The sequence below is a fragment of the Homo sapiens genome, chromosome 13 (assembly GCF_000001405.40).
Source record: "Homo sapiens chromosome 13, GRCh38.p14 Primary Assembly".
Taxonomy (NCBI): domain Eukaryota; kingdom Metazoa; phylum Chordata; class Mammalia; order Primates; family Hominidae; genus Homo; species Homo sapiens.
Window position 1 is genome coordinate 109,331,833 of NC_000013.11, and position 18,150 is coordinate 109,349,982.

General features: G+C 37.8%; 2 annotated features.

Annotated features, from left to right (window-relative positions):
- Nucleotides 1,291-1,792: an enhancer, noted in NCBI's record as "H3K4me1 hESC enhancer chr13:109985471-109985971 (GRCh37/hg19 assembly coordinates)". NCBI's record gives its function as "activates a minimal SCP1, AML or CMV promoter by ChIP-STARR-seq in naive H9 embryonic stem cells {active_cell/tissue: H9 hESC(naive)}" and the evidence as "EXISTENCE:reporter gene assay evidence [ECO:0000049][PMID:30033119]".
- Nucleotides 16,951-18,150: an enhancer, noted in NCBI's record as "BRD4-independent group 4 enhancer chr13:110001130-110002329 (GRCh37/hg19 assembly coordinates)". NCBI's record gives its function as "activates an origin of replication core promoter dependent on BRD2, P300/CBP, MED14 and CDK7 cofactors, and independent of BRD4, by STARR-seq in HCT116 cells {active_cell/tissue: HCT116}" and the evidence as "EXISTENCE:reporter gene assay evidence [ECO:0000049][PMID:35650434]".

Sequence of the window (18,150 nt, forward strand, 5' to 3'; positions counted from 1 at the left end):
TTTTTTTATTTCCAACATCTACCATTAAGGATGATAGTTGTGGAGAATATGGAATTGATTCCACACCTCGGGGAGACAAAAGCACAATTCCAACACAATTGTTTGATGATGTTTGAGATCAATATTTGCAAACCGGTGTTGTTTGTGACGTGATGTTTCTCCACCCCACCTTCCCGAGTGGCAGAAACCACACTCTCTGCTGGGAAATTGGATGTTCGTCACACAGGATGTTTTACAGTGGCATCTGCCCTTGTAACCTGATATTTTCTTCACTATCATGGGCTCGGTAATCACCAGCATGTCATAAAACAGGCTAGAGGTTACTATAGCAACGCTAACCAAACCAACGTAGGGGAGGAGGCTTGTGGACCGGGAAATGTTGTCTTTGCAGCCCCTGACGTTCAGGGTTTGGAATACGACTCTAAACTGACCTATCACAATACAAGACATTTAGCTTTTCAGAAAGCATGGAGCTGCAGGGTGTTACGTTTCCAGATAGGACTCGAAACCTCTTGCATAAATCAGCTCATTACAGAGGCCATGAAAAACATTTTCTGTATCAGTCATAATTTGTAAAAACAGGTGTCTGACCTCTACTTTCAAAACCTCTTGATAGCCTAGGCCAGAGGAGTTTGGAAACAGCAAACAGGTCTGGTGAAGCGGAGCCCCCACCCTTTGCTGATGCAGCAGCCCTTTGAGAAGAGCTTGGTGGTCTTGCAGAACAGCACCTAAAAGGGAAGCCTGAGCACCATTTTCATTCTGGCCAAGGTGGCTTAACTGTTCTAAGAAGATGCCCGCCGGGAATCCTGACTCTCCCATACTGTACCTTCCTTTGTAGACTGTTGGCAGAATCAACAGCAGGCTTCCAGTCACACCCCTTCCGCTTTCGCTTCATTTTTACTAAGTCCACCGGACCTGCCGGGTGTAGCAGAGAGCAGGAGGGAGTGGGCTGTTCTCACGTGCGGCTGCTGGGAACCCTCGCTCTGCCACTTACTCACCGCACCAGCGGGGACACACTGCTTATCTCCTCCAAGTCTCTTTCTTTGCTCGGAATGACACCCACCTTGCAGGGTTTGTAAGGAGGAAACGAGAAGAGAAAGATGAAGGTGCAAACTTGCAGCCAGGGTTGTTCTTAGAGCTACACGATCCTCCCACGAGAGAGCTGGCCACGTGGGGCTCACTCCTTGCCCTAGGTCAGGGAGGGTCCTGTCCTGGCCTATATGCTATAGAGGCCCCCATTTCCGGTCCTCCTCTGGCCTTGCACTTTTAACGATCAAGGGGACATTGCCCCCTAGAGCTCATGCTTCCTTTTCCAGTCCCCTGGCTGCAGGCCCGGAACCTGGACGTCCCAAGGAAACAGTCTCCAGTTTACATCCGATGCCTGCAGGCGCGCATTCCCCATCTACCTTGCTGAGGAGGACTCCAGAGTCCTAGGTAGCCAAGGGGTGGAGGTTTGTCGGGGAGTGAATAGAAACCAGATTCAAGGGCCAGGACACACCTGCACACACCCAGGGCCCAGCGTGGGAAGGCGGGCCAGGCAAGCAGAGTCAACACTCCTTGCCTCTCCACATTCTAGCTTGGAAATTGGAAGAGTCTGAGAATTGTCCATTCCAATCTGGCCTTTTAGGTCAGTATCTGGATATGTGTGTCAAGGTAGGTAGACAGAATATATCATGTTTAACCGTTTTCTGGCTGGATAATTACTTTATAATATTTCTACAGATGTTACGAAGGCTCCATTTGTGTTGTTCAATAAGCCTTTGCAAGTGTCAGGGGCAGACTTTACACATATAATACATGCATCGTATATAACATAGGATGCACATGAACATCAAGGGACTATCACATATGAAACCCTTCAATTTGCTTATTGAAAATTCAAAAGGATTTTTATAGTGATTGACCAGGTAACCTCTGAATGGACACACGACACCCACAATAATAAGAAAATCTGGAAAGAACTCAGAATGGAGGTAAAAATAACAAAAATTTGCTCCGGGTAAAAAATATCCCATTTAAGCATCCCTCTTTCCTTCTTCCTAATGAGTTATCTACAATTGGTAATGCCACAGAAAACATGACAGCAATGCAAAGAACTAAATATCCATGGTTGAACCAGAACATAAAGGTGGTATAGTTTGGGAGGGAGGGGTGGTAAAAATGTTCTGTTTTATATTAGAATTCATTTGAACCGTTTTTCCACCCTGACCTTAGATTGTCTACTTGTGATATGGATTCACCCAGCAGAGATGAATTAAGTTGTGCCAGGGACAGATTTTACAGGCAGAAAGAGCAGGTGGTTGCCTAGGGCAGTAAAATGTTTTAGTGACACTATTATGGGAGGGTCTGTAAGCTGTGAGGGGGCAGTGGGGGATTGTGGCTTCTTTTCCCCATCTTGCCTAGAGCAGAAAAATCCCAGCAGCACCCTAGGGTGGTATCAGGCAGAACATTTGAATATATTTACATCTCTAATTGAATCTGGGGCAGAGAGTGGGGAGGAGAGAGCTTGCTTACTATTTCATGTGCTTCTGATGAGCATTTAACTTTTGCACAGCTCCTGTGACACCTCGTGGCTGGAAGAGACGCTCACCGAGCCAGTCTTTTGTGTAGGTGACATGAAGGTCACAACAGGATGTGCCGACACAGCAGACCAGAGGCACGGCTGGCACTCCTGCATTCCTCCTTCTTCCCCTGCCCCTCTCTGGAGAGGGAGTGTAGCAGCAGGACAATATGGTAGACCTCTGCTGACGCCGGTCCAAGTCCACACCTGGTTCCCCCAGCTGCCAACACCATCTGTTCAGGTTGTCTAATCTGAGGAAGACTCCGGGACAAGAGCACATTCTGAAAGCAAGCTGGTTCTTCCGCGGTGCTTATCCACTTTATGAAGGAAGCTGCTCGTGTGTTTTAGTCAAACCTAAGAGTTCATGAAATGCAAGTGAAGTGCAAGGTGACATAATGTGCCATACAAGGAACGGGATGAGCCCAAGTGGATGCTGGTCAGAAACTGATGCTGTGTTCTGTAGATGGTGCTATGTGAAATTATGAAATTATCATTCACAAGTTCAAGTTCGTCATAGGAGACAGAACGGGGCGGGATAATAAGCTGTCCAGAGGAAGTCTGGAGGCTTGATCTGCTGAGATCTAATAAATTTTAGGAACCACTGAAGAAGGGCATCTTCAATTAGTCAAGACACTTGGAAAAGTCTCCAGAGTCAATTCAAGGCCACAAAGGGAAGTCTTCTGACTGAAGAGACTCCGTGGACATGAGACCATAGCTAGTCACATTTGTGTCCCTAGGAGGGTACTGTATAGCCAGTACATGACACTCTCCTTTCCATCACAGGCAGTGCAGCTACAAAGAGAACGACTTTAGATGGCGAGACTATGGCAAGGAAAGCTAATGACAGGACTCTTTCCGAATGTCTCTCACTGGGAGAAGCATTCCATCATACTTGGGAACTATAGTTTGGCATCCTCTCAAACCAGATCCTTCCCTAGGTCAGCAAAATATTTTTCCTCTCTTTTTTCAAAGTAATTTTATTTTATTTTTCTGATTTCCTGGGTATATTTGTTTGGTTTCTTTTAAAGTACTTCCCAATTAACAAAATGTACTCTACACATAGAGCCCAAGGGATCTATTCTTATGTCAATATGTCCACATAATTCACTCTTATTACCATTAATGGGAACTAAATATGCACATCAAAGGAAAAGATCCCTGCACAACCTAAATGAATAAGCTTCATTAATGCAATGTTATGGCTTATTTTTTCTGAGAAAATGCATTTAAACCTAAAGGTTAAAACAAATCTGCCAGCAGACAGAAGAGTCAAAGTCAACCCAAAGGGACTGAAAAGATGAAGTGTGTCAGGACTGCGAGACTACATTGGAGCTCGAGGTCCAAGGCTTCTGGGGGAAATGTGGGACCTTAAGTCAATTGCAAAATGCTCTGTGACCACAGGCAGTTGTCCATGGGTCCAAAAAGAGGTGGTAAGGAGCTGCACCTTGAAGACAGAGGTAGACACTTAACAAAATGCTTAATTTTTCTGCAATAAAAAGTAACAAAGCCCACAACATAAAATACATAAAATATATAAAACAAAGCCCACAATAAAAAATAAAAAGTAACAAATCCCACAATAACACAGTTATGGCACAATTTCTGTGCCATAACAGGGTACATGTGTTTTCTTTATGCCTGTGTAAAACATGGTCTTGTGCATACTTGTTCATTATTATTATTAAAATCCTGGTGCTATTGTGAATAGATGAAAATCAAATTTGGACTACATTTATTTGTATGTTCATAAAAATACAAGGTCAATGACACAGGAAGAAAACAAAAATATCACATTTGGGATGCCTTGCCTTCTTTCTGGATTGCCTGTTACTGCATACCTTGTCTGGCACTTTTTATTGGTGTTTTCTTAGACAATTGGTAAAAGCTGAGACATATTACTAGATAATGAGAAAAACTGGATTTTGGTTTCATGAATAAAAATGTCTATGCCTATTTGAAGAGTGAAGGCAATATAATCAAATCCTCACAGTGAAAAAGCAAGTCATGGTGCTTGCAGGTTTAATGCACCGGTTGAATTTAAGCCTGTGCAAAGTTAGCCTTGAAGACGAGCCAACCATGGGCTAAGAACCAGGTGAAAGTATTAACATGAGCCACTTGCTTTGTCTGTGCTCACTCTGGTTTTATCAATTTCAGTTGCAGTGATTCTGTTATTAGAATTCAATTCATGAAAAGGAACTTTTCATCCTCCATACTGCCTCCTTTACTAATGGAGAAAAGAAAAATAAAGAAAAACAAACCATATAGTTTATCTGTCAAATATATTCTAATTTCTGTAAACCTTGGTAATTCACAAGAAATAAAGAAAACACACGCAAGATAATTTGACAAAATCTCAGTACTCTTTATTGCCAAATCTTTCTTTCATGTGAGCATTTGCTCATGCCCAGTATCTCCATAATGATTGACTGACTTCTCCAAATAGTTAGATTTTGAAGATATCTTTACCATTTTTTTTTAAGTCTCCAGTTGAGTAATGAGCTTGGCTTGTTATGTGAGAACTCTGTTAAGGGAATCTCATCATAAAATTCCTGAAATGACTTTGAGAGGTAGCTGGCCGTGAACAAGGGCCATGAAGTACAGGCTTTCTTTCTGACTGTAACCCAAACAAACATTTGTGTTAACCTTTGCAGAAATACCTCTATTCACATATAAAATACAGGAGGAAGAGTGGAGTCAACAGGCTCATTGTTTCTTAAAGTGTGTCCATTGGAACACAAGTTCTGGAAGATCACTTTTGAAAAAAAATTTCTTAAATGAGGAAAGACCATTTGTTATATTGTCTTAATGATTCTTTTTCAATTAAAATATGTGAAATACCTTTAGTTTAAAAAGTTGTTTAGAATTTTAACTCATTTTTCTTTGCAGTCTCCATAGACGCTAAAAAAGCCTTTAACAAAATTCAACATCCATTCATGATTAAAACCACTCAAGGGAATAGTAACTGAGAGTTGTTTTCTTAGCAAGGATGTGCTTACCACACACATAAATAGATGTGTCTATCTATCTATGTGTGTATACGCGTATCTATCTATCTATATATATGCGTATACATATATATGCGTATACACACATACATATATATATCCCTAAATTTACCATGTTATTCCATAGAGAAACATTACAGATACTAAAGACATTTCCAGTAAGATAGGAAAAAGGCAAAGATTCTCACTGTCTGTGCAACCTGTGCATATTCTAACAGAGGTACTAGCTAATGCAATTGTATAAGAAAAATCAGCTAGAGACATGAGAATGGATTTTAAAAGTTCCTCTACTTGTAGATAATATGATAGTATACTTGTAAATCTCCAGAGAATGAATGATAAAATTAATTCAATGAAAGAATGCAGTGATGTAATAAGATATAAAACTAACACATAAATATCAACAGAGTTCATACATAAAAACAATAAGCAGTTAGAGAAATTTTCACTTACAATAGCATAAGAAATACTACTTAGAAATAAATGTGACAGAAAATGTGCAAAACTTCTATAAGGAAAATTTGGAACTTGTGAAAATTGTAAAAGTAGACATGACCAAATAAATGGAAAGTCAGTCTAGTTTTGGGGTCAGGAAGACTCAGCATTTTAAAGATGTATCTTCCCCCAGGTTGATTTACAAAATCAATGCAATCCCAATAAAAATGCCAATGAGCTACTTTATAGTATTAGACAACTTGATTATAAAGTTCATATGGAAAAACTAGCATGCAAATATACTTGGAAAAACACTAAAACCCAAAAAATCGAAGAAGGGGGAGTTGCTTTTACAGGTATTAAAACATGTAATATGTCCTGTATAATTAAAACAGCGTGAGGCTGAAACATGAATAGACAAGTAGACAAGTGGAAGAAAAACTGTGTAAAGTCTAAAATTAGACCCAAGTACATAAGGAAATGTAGTATATTACAAAGATGGCATCTCAAATCACTGAAATAATGGTGGACGTTTTAATAAGTTTGGCTAGGACAAATGAATAGCCATTTGGAAACAGGTAAAATTAGATTCATGTCTTGTATCTAAGAATATACTCTAAATTGATTAGAAATAAATATATTAAAGAAATCAAACAATTAGTAGAAGAAAATGTATAAATTCTCCCTAACATTGGTGTAGAGAAAAGCTTTCTAACTATGACTCAAACTTCGTAGGCAATAAAACAAAAGATTAATACATTTTACTAAATAAAAAATATACCTCTTCAAATTTTACATGATAAAATCTCCTCATAGCAAAATCAAAAGGCAATTGAAAACTAAGAGAAAATATTCTCAACAAATACCTCGGAAAAGTGGCTGATATCTCAAATATAGAAAAACATATTAAAATTCAGAGACAAAGGCAAAATATTATAGGTAAGTATGAAAAAGACATGAACAGACCTCTCAGATCTCCCTCTCTCTCTTGCTAGAGGCTTGCCAAATTTTATCTTTTCAAAAAGCTAGCTTTTCTTTCAATAATTTTTTCTCATTTTGTATTTTACTAAAATAAAATATTAATTTTAATAAATGAAAATAAAATACACAATGAGAAAAAATCATTTGTTAGTTCATTCTGTATTTTATTAATTTCCATTCTCTCTTAATTCCTTATTGCTACCATTTCTCCTATTTTGGTTTTGATTTGATCTTCTTTTTATCTTCTTAGGATGGAAGTTTAGATAACTGCTTTTGAATCTTCCTTCCCTTCTTATGTAATCATTTAAAGCTAAAAAATTTCCTCCTAAGCATTGCTTCAGCTGCATCCCAGGGGTTTTGGTATGTTGTGATTTTCATTTTTTCCCATCCCCTTAATTTTAGTAAATTTTATTTTTGGAACAGTGCTAGAAATACATGAATATTGAAAAGATACTAGAGAGAGTTCCCATACACCACACAACAAGTTCCTTTATCAACACCTGTAATATTGTGTGTGGTGCACTTGTTACAATGATGATCCAATGTTGATTCATCATTATTAACTATGCCCATAGTTCTTCAAATTGTCTTATTTTACCTCATGTATTTTTCTGTTCTAGGATCCCATCCAGGATCCCATGTTACATTTAGTCACCATGTCTCCTTAGTCTCCTCTTGGCTTTTGGAGTTTCTCAGTCCTTGTTTTTGATGACTCTGGACAGTTTTGAGGACAACTGCTCAGGTCTTTCGGAGAAGGCCTCTCTATGGAACTGCTCATGATTAGAGTGGGCTTATGGCTTTTCAGAATGAAAATCACAAAGATAAAGTGTCATTTCTATCACATTATATCCCGGGTGCATACTGTCAACATTACTTCTTTCTGCAGATGGTGACCTTGATCACCTGGTTAAGGGAGTCTTGGTCAGGTTTCTCCACCATAAATTTGCTCCTTTCCTCTGGTCCTGTACAATCAGAAGGACGTCACTGTTTGCATACTACACTTAGCGAGTGGGGAGTTATGCTCCCTCTCCTTGAGAGTGAAGCATCTGCATACATTATTTGGAGTTCTTCTGCATGGGAGATTTGTCTATTCTCTCTATTTCTTTATCCAGTCAGTCATTTGTATCAGCATAGAAAAATTGGTATGTATTTTAAATTTGGGTTATAATCTGACAACACTTTAAGTATTTTGTTTCTCATATCATCTTGTCAACATGTATGTATATTAGTAGAATAAATTTCTGGAAGTGGAATTATTGAATCAAAGATTATATACATTTTAAATTTTGATAAATGATCAGATTGCTCACCTTAAAAGTTATTCACATCTACTCTCCCCCAAGAAAAGCCTGAAAACATCTGCTTCATGATACCCTTGTTAATACATTGTGTTATAAAATGTGATAAGAATTGCCAGACCGGAATCTCAGTATGGTTTTAAGCATTTATGTCTTTGCTATTTATTAATTATGTATCACTTACTAAAATGAAATTTAATTTCTAATATTGGTCTATGGAGATATTCTATATAATTAGTTATTTCGAAAACCTATCATAGGCTGAAAGAATTCTATACTTGTTTTTGTCTATAATTCTCATGATTTCATTTTTATCTAGAAGATTTGCTTTCCTATGTTAATAATGTTATTTTATGCATAAAATTTCATGCCTTCAGTCTTCACTGTGGATAGCAACAATTAACATATAAAATGCCTTTGTCTTTTTTTTTTTGGTGTTTTTTGTTTGTTTGTTTATTTTCCAGAATGCAACCCTATCTGATATTAAGATTCTGACCCTTTACATTCTTGGCATTTTCATAGTATGCCATTCTCATCATGTTAACTTAAATATTTCTGAATTACAACTTTTTAGTTTGTCTCTTAAATATATATGTGCCGATTTCTTGCTTTGTTTTTTTCCCAGTTTTATTGGGGCGTGATTGACAAATAAACATGGCATATATTTAAGGTGCACAACATGATGACTTGATACGTGTACACATCCTGAAGTGATTCTCCCAATCAAGCTGAGTCTTTTTCCTTTACTAGTTAAGAGGATGTCAGATATATTGATCACTTTTACATGGAAAGCTTTCTTTGTGTTCTAGCGTTTTATGTATATTTTTTGCTATTATAAATCTTACACTACATAATATTTCACTACATGTCTTCTATTTATTTTTTCTGTTGATCTGAATTTTTTTTTTAGTTTTCAGACTAACTTTACCTGTAACTTTATATAGTATACTTCATTAAATACGTATGTATTTTTGGTAACAGCCTTATTGAGATAGAGTTCATATACACTACATATACCATAAAATTTACAGTGCACATTCACTGTTTTTCAAATTTATATATTTACAGAAATGTACCACCATGACCACACTCAGAACATTTTCATTATCCCCAAAGAAACCCACACCTTCTGTCATCTCTCAGCCCTGCCAGTCCCCTCTCCAGCCTTAAGCTACCCACAAATCTACTTTCTGCATCTATAGATTTGCCTCTTGTGGGCATTTGATACAAATGCAGTGTGAGGTCCATTGAGCCTCACTTCTAACAAACAGGGCAGGACAGAAATGATGACATGAGTTTCAAGGCCTGCCTCTTGTTCTCTTGGGTCTCATTCTGGAGGAAGCCAATTGCCGTACTGCGACTGTAGAAGACGCCCAAGCAGCCTCACCGATGCCGGCACTGCCTTCCATCCTGTGAGAAGGCACCTTGGACACAGACCCTCTGGCCCAGGCAGCCTCAGATGCCTGGAGTCCCAGCTGCCATTCTGATGGCAACCTCACTAGGCACCCTGAGCCAGAACTGCCCTTAAACTGCTCCCAAATTCTTCATCTGCAGAAAAGATATGGATAATATGTCGTTTTTGGTGTGTTGTTGACACTAAGTTTTTGAGTAATTTGTTAGGCAGCAACAAATAATGAATACAAATATTTTCCATTATTTCCCTGCCACTGTGGAAAAATCTACAGAAGTTTAGTTTTTCTTTCCTTCTACCTTCTAGACGAACTTTTCATTTGCCTTTTATGGTTGGCAGAATAATGCCACCCTCTCTCCAAGATGTGCTTCACCTAATCCCTGAAAACTGTGGATATGCTACCTTAAAATGGTAGCAAGGGACTCTACAGATGGGATTAATTTACTGATATTGGAGTGGGAAGATGATTATGAATTATCCGGGTGTGTTTAAGGGCCTTGGTAAGAAAAAGGCAGGAGCACTAGAGGCAGAAAAAGAGCTGTGAGGACAGAAGCAGAGGTCAGACAGATTTGCAGATGCCATGAGGCTGGTTTTAAAGGTGGAGGGAGGAGCCGTGAGGAAGGAAGTATAGGTGCTGGGCAAGGTGAGGAGGTGGATCCCCTCTAGAGCCTGCAGGAGGAATGCAAGTGTGTCAGCACCCTGATTTCAGCCCCAGAAGACTAATTGGACTGCCAATCTCCAGAACTGTGAGATCATAAATTTGCAGTATTTTCAGTTACTAAGTTTGTGTATTTTTCTACAGTAGCAATGGCAAACAAATACATCTTCTAACCTCAGGGTCCTTTAAGGTTCAGAAAGTTTACTAGCTATGTCTTATGGTTGTCTTTTCTACATGGATTTTCCTCGGGACATAAGATACCCTCTCAAACTGGAAATGTAAATATTTGTTTTTTGAAGTTTTTTAAAATAATGTTTTTTGAATATTTTACTCTTTTGTTATTTTGATACCCTATGTGATGGTTAATACTGAGTGTCAATTTGAATGGACTGAAGGATGCAAAGTATTGATCCTGGGTGTGTCTGTGAGGATGTTGCCAAAAGAAATGAACATTTGAGGCCGGGCGCGGTGGCTCACGCCTGTAATCCCAGCACTTTGGGAGGCCGAGGCGGGCGGATCACGAGGTCAGGAGATCGAGACCATCCCGGCTAAAACGGTGAAACCCCGTCTCTACTAAAAATACAAAAAATTAGCCGGGCGTAGTGGCGGGCGCCTGTAGTCCCAGCTACTTGGGAGGCTGAGGCAGGAGAATGGCGTGAACCCGGGAGGCGCAGCTTGCAGTGAGCCGAGATCCCGCCACTGCACTCCAGCCTGGGCGACAGAGCGAGACTCCGTCTCAAAAAAAAAAATAAAAAAAAAAAAAAAAGAAATGAACATTTGAGTCAATGGGCTGGGAAAGTCAGACCCACCCTTAATCTGGGTGGGCACCATCTAATCAGCTGCCAGCATGGGCAGGATATTAAGCAGTCAGAAAAATGCAAAAAGGCTAGATTGGCCTAGGCTCCTGGCCTAGGCTCCCAGCCTACATCTTTCTGCTGTGCTGGATGCTTCCTGCCCTCTAACACAGAACTCTCAAGTTCTTCAGTTTGGGGACTCAGACTGGGCTTCCTTGCTCCTCAGCTTGTAGACGGCCTATTGTGAGACCTTGTGATCATGTGAGTTAATACTTAATAAACTCCACTACATATATATATAGATATAGATATAGATATAGATATCTCCTAATAGTATATATATATATCCTATCAGTATATATATATATCCTATTAGTATATATATAATATATATCCTATTAGTATATATATAATATATATCCTATTAATATATATATATATCCTATTAGTATATATATATCCTATTAGTATATATATATATATCCTAATAGTATATATATAATATATATCCTATTAGTATATATATAGTATATATCCTATTAGTATATATATAGTATATATCCTATTAGTATATATATAGTATATATCCTATTAGCATATAGTATATATCCTATTAGTATATATATAGTATATATCCTATTAGTATATATATAGTATATATCCTATTAGTATATAGTATATATCCTATTAGTATATATATAATATATATCCTATTAGTATATATATAATATATATCCTATTAGTATATATATAATATATATCCTATTAGTATATATATTATATATATCCTATTAGTATATATATAGTATATATCCTATTAGTATATATATAGTATATATCCTATTAGTATATATATTATGTATCCCATTAGTGTATATATATATCCTATTAGTGTATATATATATCCTATTAGTATATATATATACACACTATATATATATATCCTATAAGTATATATATATATACACACTATATATATATATCCTATACTATATATGTGTGTATATGTATATGTATTTATATGTATATATGTATATACACACATATATATGTGTATGTGTATATATATAGTGTGTGTGTATATATATATATCCTATTAGTTCTGTCCTTCTAGAGAACCCTGACTAATACACCCTACTTAGGTAAATCCATCACACTTTCTAGATTTTACTTGCCTTGTTCCATAACTACTGTTTTTCACTGTAATCCCATTAACTCTTTGCTCATTTTCTTTATATTTTGAGTGTTTTTCTCAGTACAGTCCATTATGTGCAGAGCTGTATTTTCATAGTATTTCTCCTTAGTGCTGCTTCCCATTTAGCTATCATTTTTTCCTGTGCATTTATATTTTTCACATTTTTTCCTGAGCTACACCAGCTCACATAGCACATTCTTCTGAGGTCCCAATATATCACCCATGAACTAATGTGTTTCTGCTGCGTGTTTTGTTTATACAGATGATGGTTTCATTTTGTTGGTAATTTGTGAAGATAGGTTGGATCATAATCTCTCTTTGTGGTAGCGTTTTTCTAATGCAGGTTTTTGTCTGCATTAGAAATTAATTTCTCTGTTCTTTCTTCCCATTTGTAGAATTGTACAATCTTTGTATATTTTGCTTATTCCTTTTAAATTATTTCTCGAATATTTCTCATGTTTGAACAAGACAAGCTCTCCACATATTGACTATCTGTAGGAAGTCCATGTGGGACCTGGGGCAGCGTGTGCTTCAGGATGTTAGGAATTCTCAGAATGACTCAGGACTATGGAGTGCAGATGAGCTTCTGGACTCTCATTTCCTTTCATCCAAGCAGGATCAACATTCGGGGGACTCCCAGTGGAACTTCTCCTTGCCTCACCACCTGCCTCATGTTGTCACCAAGGACAACCTTCTGAAGACACTTTGGCACGGTGCTCTCTCAGCCACTTTTCCTCAACTTTCTCTCAGAGCCAGACGAACTCTGGGGACGCTCTCAGGGCCGGGCAGAACTCATCCCCATCCTGTGACCCGAGTTTAGATCTAACCTGCATGGCTGCCATCTACCTTGAACAAGTGGACTTTGATGGCCTTTTCTGAGGTCTGGGACCATAGGTGTCCACCCTCGAGGGTTTCCATGTTTGATTGTCACTGCTTTTGAGAGGCTAGGCTTCTGTTTTATTCTTTCTTTCCTTCATTTTTATTTTTCTTTTTTAAAAATTAAAGATGAAGTTCATTTGTTTGTTTTGCTTCTTATTTTGGAGTTAGTTTCTACAGGAGGAGGAAAAGAAGCCAAATTTTATTCACCAAATTCAATTCAAAATTAAATACAAGTCAAAAGCAGAAATTCTTACCAGCTCTGGCTTGATGAGGGATCTATCTTGTTTCAAAGGATTTCTCAGAAAGAAATTTCCAACACCTTCTTTTGTGCTTCATACTGGCATCCCTAGATTATTTAAATCTTGATACAGTCATTTGCTGTAGTAGACATTCCCACAATCATTAGATTACCCACTTATTTGAGAAGCATGTTTTCCATGCCTTCAAGTAAGTGAATGATAAAAGCATTTGACTGGATTTAATCGTATCAGAACCTTTTGGCTTACTGCTAATGACTTCCTTTCAGGCTGATATCAGTACATTAATCACCACTTTTTAAAAAAATAGTTATTCACTGCTTTACGTTGCATCCGATTTTGCTATCAGTCCATTCATGTCATCCTGCTGTGCTTCCGTGAACATATTAAACAGAACTCTGTCACATGCTTTGATGGAACCCAGCTACCCCACATCTATGTCATCTTCCAAGCTGCCAGTCCAGTCAAATGTCAGAAAGCAAATGAGGTGTGACTCGCTGTTAGTGAAGCCATGCTGACTCCTGAAAATCATGACTGCTTTTTCTAAAGGGCTTATAAGTCTGTAGCACAATAGTCCATTCCACAGGTTTACCAGAAAATACCATCAAGTATGACTATTTGAGGTTTCCAGGACTCGTGGCTTTGCCCTTTCACTTTCTTTGTGATTCTTCAAAGATAGTTGAAATTGGGTTCTGCACACTTTGGAGTAAAATCCAGCTCTACCTGGAACCTCAGCCCCATGCACGTCAGCTGCTCTTATTGCCTCTGAGCTCCGGGACCCCACTTCCCATTGCACCCATTTGTTCTCCCTGCTGCCCCTAAAGATGGATCTTAAAGGAGAAAGTTGGGGGGAAAAAGGAGCAGAGGAGCAGCTTTGTCCTCTCTCATCTCTCTTATCTGCTCATTGATCCCAGATTGTGGGCTCATGCAGTTCTCCCTAGGGTTGCCTGTTCAGAGCAGTCCTGAAAGTTACTCCTGGCTGTCAGTCCTGTGGCATATCATGAATCCTCTCGGAGCTAGATCTCACCCTTTTGTAAGTGGGGACAATCAGCCCTGCCTGATAGGACTTCTCAATGGCTGAGATAAGACATAGAACAGCATATAATGCCTGACACCTGGGAAGCACAGAATAAATATTAAGTCTCTTATTGTGATCATCATTCTCCATGGCAGATTAAAGGGTAGGCTCATTACTCATTACTTTTAATGGCAAAAGCTGCAATTACTTTTGCACCAACATAATACAACAACTATGGAAAACAGTGTGGAGATTCCTTAAAGAACTAAAAGTAGATCTATCATTTGATCCAGCAATCCCATACTCTTGTGTATCTACCCGGAGGAAAAGAAGTCATTGTGTGAAAAAGATACCTGCACGTGCAAGTTTATAGCAGCACAATTTGAAATTGCAAAAATATACAACCAGCCAGATGCCCACTAATCAATGAGTGGATAAAGAAAATCTGATATATACCTATATATCACATGTATATATATCTATATCTATATGTGTGTGTATATATATATATATACACATACACATAGACACATGGAATACTACTCAGCCTTGAAAAGGAATGAGATAATGGCATTCGCAGCAACCTGGGTGGAATTGGAGACCATTATTCTAAGTGAAGTAACTCAGGAATGGAAAACTAAACATCATATGTTCCCACTCATAAGTGGGAGCTAAGCTATAAAGATGCAAAGGCATAAGAATTTTACAATGGACTTTGGGGACTCAGGGGAAAGGGTTGGAGGGGGATGAGGGATAAAAGACTACACATTGGGTACAGTGTACACTGCTAGGGTGATGGGTGCACCAAAATTTCAGAAATCAACACTAAAGAACTTATTCATGTAACCAAACACCACCTGTTTCACCAAAACCTATTGAAATAATAAAACTGAATTCTTCAGAGAGATCCCTTTAGAAAAAGCATTTTATTATCAGCCTTCCCAATTCTTTTTTTCACCAAGTTCACTGGTGATATAATAATTAGGATTTTTAAAAATTACTTATGTGTTTTAAAGTGATGCCCTCTTTCAGAGTCTCTGACCATGGATTACACCCGTTTCATCATTGCTCCCACCTTTGGCCTTTCCCAAACCAGGTCCTCCCTGAATTCCTTTCTGGAAAGACCTGGGATAGAATTGACCAAGCCATCTTTCACTTTCTTTCTTTTCTCTTCTTCTGCATAGCTAACAGATCTATCAAGTTCTGCTGATTTTACTTCCATGCACTTGTTGAATCTGCCTTGTTCTCTTCATCACTCTTGCTACCACCTCACACTGTTTCCTTGCTTGTGCCCTTTCTGTGAGTTGGTCATATTCCCTGCCACCAGATCTGCTCTCTGCTGCCAGAAGGGTATTTCCAAGACCCTATTTTAATAGCACTACCAGATTGATAAACATTCTGTAACATATTGAAAATTTTTCTAGGTCAGGCATGGTGGCTCATGCCTATAATCTCAGCTCTTTGGGAGACTGCAGCGGGCGGATTGCTTGAACCCAAAAGTTCAAGACCAGCCTGGGCAACATAGTGAGACCTCACTCCTACAAATAATAATAATTAAAAAAATAGCTGGGCCTGGTGGCTCATGCCTGTAGTCTCAGCTACTTGGGAGGTTGAGGTGGGAGGGCCAGTTTAGTCTGAGAGGTCAAGGCTGCAATGAGCCATGACTGTGCCACTGCATTCCAGCTTGGGCAACAGAGTGAGATCCGAAAAGAAAGAAAAGAAAAGAAAAGAAAAGAAAAGAAAAGAAAAGAAAAGAAAAGAAAAGAAAAGAAAAGAAAAGAAAAGAAAGAAGGAAGGAAGGAAGGAAGGGAAAGAAAGAAAGAAAGAAAGAAAGAAAGAAAGAAAGAAAGAAAGAAAGAAAGAGAAAGAAAGAAAGAGAAAGAAAGAAAAAGAAAGAAAGAAAGAAGGAAGGAAGGAAGGAAAGAAAAAGAAAGAAAGAAAGAAGAAAGAAAGAAAGAAAAAAAGAAAATTCTTCTAAATCAATAATCAAGAAATGTAATTGCCAATTTAAAAATCAAATATTATGACTGATTATATCATGTTTAGATTTATCTCACGTATCAGCAATTAATATACAAACATGATAAATTTAACAAAGTGACTCTTCTATAAGCATTAACAAGTTTTCTTCAATTAAATTTAGAACTTTGAAGGACAGTGATCCTAATAAATAATTATTATAAACTTATAAAAAGAGAATACATTTTTTTTTACCCATTGATGTTTCCTGTAGTTGTCTTAATTCATGGATCTACCTGAAAAACTGTGGGTTAATTTTACCTTCTTATTCTGGCTTGAAAATTTTTAATGGAGCTGTTTTGGTGGTGTAACCCATTAAATGGTCATCAAAATGCATGAGGGAAGAAAAATGCTAGATGAACTATGAGTCATTGGTACTTACTAATTCTTCCATCAAAGCTTTTAAAGTGTTTACTCTCGTTCGAATAAAATCTACTATGGGTAAGAAAAATTTAAGTAGGATGTTTGTCCAGAGAAATTTGAGTCTAAATGCACAATTAAATTACCACTTAGTAGCAAAATTTATTATTTGAAATATCTTCCAAATATCTGTGAAAATGAATGACAAATCTTATCACATTCTAACTCCCGAAGATTTTTTAATAGCACATGTTTGAGATATAATCACTGTTTGAAGTTGTAATCTAAATGCTTTTAACTTTGTCATTACTGTTGTAGTTTCACTGACTTGAAAAAAATACTTTAAAATAATGACTAAGGAGATTCTTCACTCCTACTATTTCCCTGCAAGGAATAAGGACAGGGTGCTTGGTGCAATCACTCAGTAGATAAATTCTTGTTACATTAACAGTTTAAGTGAATAAAAGGAGACCCATACAGAAGAAGTAAAGTGACTCATAGAATTAGAATTTCCTAAGATCTACAAATTGATCTTATACTTTGAATAATACCATACCAACTTTTTGCATTTGTTTCAGGAACTTTAAAAATTGAACTACTAATGTAAAAATAAGCCAGGAAAAAAAACAAGAGGAATGAAGAAGAGAGAAGTACCCAGAAACCACATGAAAATGTCCAAATATAGAAGTGGACGTGACCAAAGGTGAATTTCTTTAATTTGTCCAGAAAAATAAAGCATGTGTTTCTGGCACTGTACCAAACTTGTGTAGGTGTTACTCTGTTTGCCATTTTTGGTTGTATATATCTTGAAGATTCTTTTAAAGACAGTTCCATCCTCAAATAGGATAATTACTAAATAGATGCTACATTCAGAGGATGTTATACAGGAAAAAAAATGACAGAAATGCCTAGTATACCAGTGTAGCACAAAGAGAAGTGGATAAGTCTCTAGGGGAGGGGATGAGGCTGTTAGAGAAGAAAAGGTGAGTTAGCTGCGTTGAATTGAAGGGTGAGCTGAATATTGTGTGCAGGCAAAGAGCTAGGGAAGGTCTGTTAAGCAGGGACCACATCCGATGCAAAGGCCCAGAAGCAACAGCACAGGCTGCTTAGCAAGCTGCAATGTTTGCTGTGGATGGAGCACAGAGTCTGGAAGGAACATGGAGTACAGGTTGAAGCTGGAAGCCACGGAGGTAAAAGAAGGCATCATGTTTGGTACAGAAGGTTGTTTCAGTAAATGTCCTATTACCTTAAGACCACCCTCAATAAGGGGCAGAGATTCT